We start from the raw sequence: 6,897 nt of genomic DNA on the forward strand, positions 1-6,897 counted from the left end.
CTGGCGTGTGCCGAGTGCCATCCCAGAGCTGGTCTGTGTCACCCCCTCCACCCTCCCCACACCCGGGCAGGCCCCACCGTGAGCATGAGGTGAACAGAGATGTGAGAGTGATCCTGGCATTCGTGGCTCCAGCAGCCGGTGGACAAACACACTGGGGGTCAGGGGGCCTGGGGAGGAGGGACTGCAGGCCCGAATGAGCCCACGTCCTCCTCTGCCCTCTTCTCAGCCCCCCTCAGGCACAGGCCTCATCCCAGAATCCAGGACAGACGTGCAATGCAGTTAAACTGCCCCGACAGCCACTCCACACCCAGTCCAAACAACAGCTTCGCATCACTTTAGACATGGGGCGGTGCCCAGAGGCGGTGTCATTCCTGGGGTGGGATTGCGGAACTTTTAGGTGGCAGGTGGGTCCGGGCAGCGCAGAGGAGGGAGCTGGCTAGGGACGCTCCCCCTTCCCCGGAGCCATGGCCCTGGAGAAAGGCCCGCTCCTGCTGCTGGCCCTTGGCCTGGGCCTGGCGGGTGCCCAGAAGGCTCTGGAAGAGGTACCGGTACAGCCGGGCTTCAATGCGCAGAAGGTACGTGTCATGGGTCCAGTCCCCAGACTCAGGCCTGGAACAACGGCTTGAGTGTCACATTGAGGAGGTGCAGGGGGTGGGGCAGACAGGGGGGTGCCGGGGTTCAGATCCTGCCTGACCCTGCAGCAGCTCTGGAGGGTGAGCTGCACCTGGGTCCAACCCAGGCGGGAGCGGGCTCTGTCCTCCCGCGCAGCCAGCACCAGCGGCCACTGATTAACCTCGGGGCCTTTCCCTCTCTCCGGGCTGCGGAAGCTACAGCACAACAGCAGGTCGCAGGAGAAGGCTGCAGGGCGGCAGCCGGAGAAACAGAGCGCCCAGACACTGGGCCCAGGCAGGGAGCAGGGTCCCAGGGGACCCAGCCGAGCAGGGGAGGGGTTCACCCTGGGTGACACGAAGAGGCCAACCCTGGATACAGGGAGGGTCCCAGCTCCTCCTCCCTGTGTGGCCCCTGGGGTCCTGGTGCTGCTGGTGGGAGTGCAGGGATGGAGGGACACCCGGCACAGCACCAGACCCTCCCCTCTGCCCTCCCTGACCAGGGGAACAGAGCTTGGACCAGGCAGAGGCAGGGGTGCAGGGCTGAGGGAAGTGGGGGCAGCAAGTGGGGAAGGGGACTGGACAGAGACCTGAGACAAGGGGACGGGAGGTGACTCTTCCCAAGAAGTAAGCACAGCTTATCCTCCACCTGGACCCACAGATGGGCATTTGCCAATAGAGACCAGGAAGGGGGAACGTTTGCCAGTGCAGCCCCCTGGGAGGGGCACGACCACCTGCTGACCATGCTCAGTGCCGAACCTGGGGCCTGAGAGCCCAGAGGGTGGCCTGCTGGGGCTACACAGCCGGGCACTAGCCAGCCTCTCCTGTCCCGGCCCACGCCCCTGCAGGTGGAGGGGGTGCCACACAGCCGGGCACTAGCCGGCCTCTCCCGACCCGGCCCACACCCCTGCATGTGGAGGGAGTGCCACACAGCCGGGCGCTAGCTGGCCTCCTCTGCCCCGGCCCACACCCCTGCAGGTGGAGGGGCGCTGGCTCACCCTGCAGCTGGCAGCCAACCACGCAGACCTGGTCTCCCCGGCCGACCCCCTGAGGCTCGCTCTCCACTCCATCCGGACCAGGGACGGCGGGGACGTGGACTTCGTGCTGTTCTGGAAGTAAGCACGGCTCCTGCCGCCCCTCTCAGGCGCTCATTCTCAGACCTAGGGACCCCCAAGCAACAGTGACAGTGTTCAGAGCCAGAGGAACACATCACACCAAGCTGAGGCCCAAGACCCCGCTCCAAGAGGGGTAAGCTCAGAAGCTGCCAGAGGCAGGTGGGCAGGAAACACACAGCCCGGCCCCGGAGGCAACGTCCAGTCCCAGCAGACACGCCCACTGGGCCACGGGCCTGTGTTCCAGCTGTGAAGGAAGCCCGGGTCTGGAGTTTTAAATGTGCGATCTCCAGTGTTTGAAAGTTGCCTCATTCCCAACATCCCTCTCCCAAGGACCACAGCCACCCTGGGCCCACACCCCTTCCGGCCCCGATGTAAGCCAGGGAATCCCGAGGACGGCTGCACTGTCAGCAAAAGAAAATCGGCCCTGGGGACAAGCTACGCTGAGCGCAGTGACACCGACAACAAGCTTCCGTTATTCCGCCTGCACCCACAGCTCCGAAGGCAGTTAGACCCACATCCTAGCAGACGCTCAGTCGTAGACACACCGCACGGTGGCCTGCAGAGTCCCAGGGGTTGGTGGGCACCCACCCCAAATGAGAAACTGAAGACCCCGGAGCAAGGGGCATGGGAGTGAGGGGGGCTCTGTCTATGCACGGAGGCAGGAGCATGGGGGCGAGGGGCCTCTGTCTATGCACAGAGCCAGAGCAAGTGGGGACAGGCAGGACAGTCAGAGTCCCAGTCCCCAAAACCTGGAGCTCAGAGCCAAAGCCAGACTGGGACCCATCTGTTCCAGGAGGCTTGGTGTCATCCCAGAAGTGAGGAAGACTCCACTTCGTCACTCCAGTCCCATCCCCAGCACCCCCTGGGCATCGCCACCTCCTGGCTGCATGACCCTGGTGCCTGTGCCAGGACGAGGCTGCCCTTGAGTCTGGGGAGCTGACGCCCCGGGGAGGACAGGAGGGCTCTCAGCTGGTGGCAGCCACAGTGTCCCCTGGTGGAGAGCCCTGAGAGGGCCACCACGTCCTGGGAAAGGGCAACAGGACACAGTTGGAGGCTGACCAGGCCCTGGTTCCTTTCTCTTTTCCCAGGGGAGAAGGGGTGTGTAAAGAAACAAACATCACCGTCCATCCAACCCAGTTGCAAGGCCAGTACCAAGGCTCATGTGAGTGCCCCTGTCCGGGATCTGGGCTGGGCTCTGAGTGGGGAGGGGCGAGCAAGGGGCGCTCGGATGTCCAGTCCCGGCCGCAACACTCAGAAGGGGTTGTCGGCTTTGGGGGAAGACCGGGTGCTGGAAGGAAGCTGTGCATCCTCTTGGTGGCATTGCAATGTCCACAGGGCATGGGGGGGTCCAGGGCCTGGGGGACGGAGGAGAGAGGCATCGTGCATCAGCTGGCCCGGGGTCTCCAACAGTCGAGGGCGGCAGCATGCACGTATGCTTCGTCAGCACCGACTACAGCAACCTCATTCTTTACGTGCGCTTTGAGGATGATGAGATCACCAACCTGTGGGTGCTGCTGGGTAAGTGGCCAGCTCTCCCCAGCACTGGCAGGTGCAGTGCCTCAGACCCCAGACATGAGGGCGGAGCTGCTGGACACTCCCGGCTCTGTGCAGAGACTTGCTGTCCTGTCTGGGAGGGGGCCTTCTGTGCAGGGTGTTCTGAGGGCACAGGCAGCCTTGGGCCGAGACGCAGCTGAGCTCTTCCTCCGACACATGCCCCTCAGGGAGGGTGTCCCCATGCAGGACGTGCACTGCGGGCCTGCTACAAGGCGGGCATTGCTCTGGGCGCTGCACTGGGAGCTTGAATTATCAGTGGATAAAACTGAGAAAACACCTTCCTTGTCTTCCTCCTTATCAAGCAATGTCTCGGGGTCCTGGGGGGCTCCTGAAAGTAAAAGCACCATGAGAGAAGGGCTCGAAGGGCACAGGGGACTGAGTGGGGGACATCGAGGGGCTGCAGTGTCCTGAAGACGAGGTGGAGATAGATGGGGCTGGGGGCATTTCAGGGCAGAGGATCAGCCGGAGCCCGAGCCCAGGATGGGGTGGGGGAGCGGGGCAGCAGCAGCCGAGAGGCCCCAGGGCCAAGAAGGTTGAGGGGTTGGGAGGGGTGGCACCAGGCCGGAACTTGGGACTCTCTGGGGGTCTCCACTGAGGCAGGCCAGGCCTGACTTCCTCCTTCCAGGGGCATTTTACCTGCCGTGCTCAGAACAGACCTGTGTTTAGAGGAGGCAAGGTTGGGGCCGGTGCAATCAGAGCTGGCCGGGCCTGGGAGGTCGCAGAGGGGGTGCTGCCGTGGTCCGAAGAGCCCCCAGACTGTGTCGTGGCAACTTAGTGGTGGGGTGGCCGATGCCCAGGGCCTCTGCCTCCCCGTTGTTCTCCGCAGAGGAGGAGGAGGACAGAAAAGACAGAGGCTCCAGGCCTCAGCCCCTCACTGTCAGCCCCTCTGATTCCAGCGAGAAGAATGCTGGAGGACCCCAAATGGCTGGGAAGATACTTGGAGTACGTGGAGAAATTCCACCTGCAGAAAGCCCCGGTCTTCAACATAGATGGTGAGCACTGTCCCCCAGCCACATCCTGGAGCCGGACGGGAAGAGGGCCTGAGGGTCTGGGGCCTCGTCTTCCCAGCCAGCACCACTGAGGGTGTAGCCCATCCGCACTCCCCTTACGGCCAGGCCTGTGCCGGCTGCTTCAGGGGCTGCCGGATCTTACCAGCCCCACATGACACAGTGATATGGGTCCAATGCCGTCTCCACTCTACAGATGTGGCTCAGAGACGTTCGGTAACAAGGCCAAGTTGCACAGCCAGGAGGAGGAGCTGGAAGGGATCCAGATCTCCAGCCTCCTGAGCCAAGTGCCCAGCCAGCCTCTCCCCTCTGCTGCCTCCCAACGCATCATTCAGTCAATCAACAAGCACACGGGCCAGGCCTGTTCTGGGAGTTTGGGATTCACTTAGAACAAGACAGACACATCATCCAGCCCTAGTGCAGGTTACATTGCAGCAAGCATTGTCATTACCTGATTTGTTAGAGGCAAGTGCTATGGGGGTGGGAGTGGGGGCTAGAGCAAGGTTTGAGGAGCATGACCGTGCTGTGTGAGCACGGGCCGCCAGGGTGGGTGGCCCTGAGATGAGGTGAGGGAGGAAGGCTCCCTGGAAGATGGGTCATGCAGCTGGAACAGGAGCCAAGCAGAGGAGGGCAGGGATGAGATCCAAGGCTGAGAGGGGCAGTGGGTGGGGCCTTGTGGGCCCCCAAGGGGAGTGGGTTTCCACAGAGCACAGGGCCCTGGCAGGACACAGCCAACATGGGGAGGCAGAAGGCCCAGTGATGCCAGTGAGGGATGGCTGTTTTGTGCTATGTGATTGATTTACTGATTGATTGATTTCAAAATGAATGAGTGAAGTCCTCAGAATCACCACCTTTTTCTTTTCTGCTCCACAGGCCCATGTCCCCCACCCTGAGCCTAGGTCTGGCGGTTCTGGAGTCTTCCTGCCTGGGCCCCTCACCCCTCTGCTGCCCTCAGCCTCCCTTCCACCTCCTTCACCTTGGCTTGTGGCCTGGACTGTCCCCAGGTCCCCCTGGAAGCCCTTTTGCATCTCAGGGACTCAAGGAAGCTCCCCAGCTGAGCCCAACCCTGCCTCTCTCCTGGTCCCCTCCCCTGCTGGGAAGGCCTCTTCCCTCTGTGCGTCTCCAGGTCCTGCCAACCACCTGCCAACCAACAGCCAAGGGCCAGCAGTGTGCCCCAGCCTGGCCTGTGGGCCTGGAGCACACCCAGGGTGGTGAGGAGGGGGCACATGGCCCCCTGAGCTCCTGCCCGCAGCGCCAGAGGCCTCCAAAACTTATACAATGAGTGGAGCACTGTAGTCCCAGGTGCCTCCGATGCACCCCCCTCCCCAGGGCTGCTGGGGTGGCCCTCAAGTGTCCTTCAGGAACATGACCCCACGGAGGCTGTTCTCAGACTCCAGCTCCCCTCCACTGTGACCCACCTCACCTGGGTCTGCTGGGGACCCTCCAGAGAGGTGGCCTCCATGCTCCGTGAGCAAACGCATATGTCCCCACTGAGGTCCAAGAGCCCTAAGTGAGCCCAGCTCCAGACCCTGCTCTCTGCAGAAGCCCAGCGGGGCTGCCAGGTAAACACAGACAGCTGTACCTGTGTGGCAGGTGAGACCAGCCAACGCCCACTCCTCGGAGCCCAGGATTCTGAAGGGCGGCGCCCACTTCTGCACCCGGTGAGCCAGGGCTGCCCATCGGCAGGGCAGGCTCTGAGGAAATTGGGTCAGGGACTCAATACTTGTCGTCTGGAACTCCCAAGACAGGTATGTCCAGAGGCTGCCCCGAAAACGCCTCCAGTGAGGCCTTCTCCCCCTTCTCCCCCTTCTCCCCCTTCTCCCCAATCTCCCCCGTCTCCCCCTTCTCCCCTGTCTCCCCCATCTCCCCCTTCTCCCCCTACTCCCCTTCTCCCCCTTCTCCCCCATCTGCCCAGTATCCCCTTCTCCCCCTTCTTCCCCTACTCCCCCTACTCCCCCATCTCCCTCTTCTCCCCTATCTCCCCCTTCTCCCCCTACTCCCCCTTCTCCCCCGTCTCCCCTGTCTGCCCAGTCTCCCCCATCTCCCCCTACTCCCCCTTCTCCCCCTACTCCTTCTCCCCCTTCTCCCCCTTCCCCCTCTACTCCCCCTTCTCCCCCTACTCCCCCGTCTCCCCCGTCTCCCCCTTCTCCCCCTTTTCCCCCTACTCCCCCTTCTCCCCCATCTCCCCCGTCTCTCCCGTCTCCCCCATCTCCCCCTTCTCACCCTTCTCCCCCTACTCCCTCTTCTCCCCCGTCTCCCCCGTCTGCCCAGTCTCCCCCTTCTCCCCCTTCTCTCCCTTCTCCCCCACGTGGGAAAAACACAATGGAACGAAACCCAGAGCTGGTGATGAAGCTGGTGACGAAGCCCCACGGGTCTCCTGCAAACCAACAAGCCCAGCTGGAAAAACACAAGGAAAAACGACAATCACAAAGCACACGTTTAACAAGAGGTTTATGGAATTTGTAAGACCATAAAAAATAGCCTTTTCTGGGGCCCTAAAATGACCGGGATAAATAGCGACGTGAGAGTGCTGTGTCTCTCTCAACATCGTAGAGTTGATAACCTCAGCTTCACCCATAGACTTCAGCAATTCAATTACTCTTCCAGTGGGAT

The 6,897-nt window shown here is 62.3% G+C and overlaps 1 protein-coding gene across 1 annotated transcript; it reads left to right on the top strand.

The window, feature by feature from the left end:
• The first annotated feature begins 407 nt into the window (after positions 1 to 407).
• LOC102723971 (lipocalin 1-like) lies at positions 408 to 6,118 on the top strand. Its single transcript, NM_001375657.2, has 6 exons — positions 408 to 575; positions 1,587 to 1,723; positions 2,812 to 2,885; positions 3,134 to 3,241; positions 4,174 to 4,269; positions 5,158 to 6,118. The coding sequence occupies exons 1-6, from the start codon at positions 465 to 467 to the stop codon at positions 5,175 to 5,177; spliced, it is 546 nt and encodes a 181-aa protein (NP_001362586.1). The 5' UTR covers positions 408 to 464; the 3' UTR covers positions 5,178 to 6,118.
• The last annotated feature ends 779 nt before the right edge of the window (positions 6,119 to 6,897 follow it).

The sequence above is a fragment of the Homo sapiens genome, chromosome 9, assembly GCF_000001405.40.
Source record: "Homo sapiens chromosome 9, GRCh38.p14 Primary Assembly".
Taxonomy (NCBI): Eukaryota; Metazoa; Chordata; class Mammalia; order Primates; family Hominidae; genus Homo; species Homo sapiens.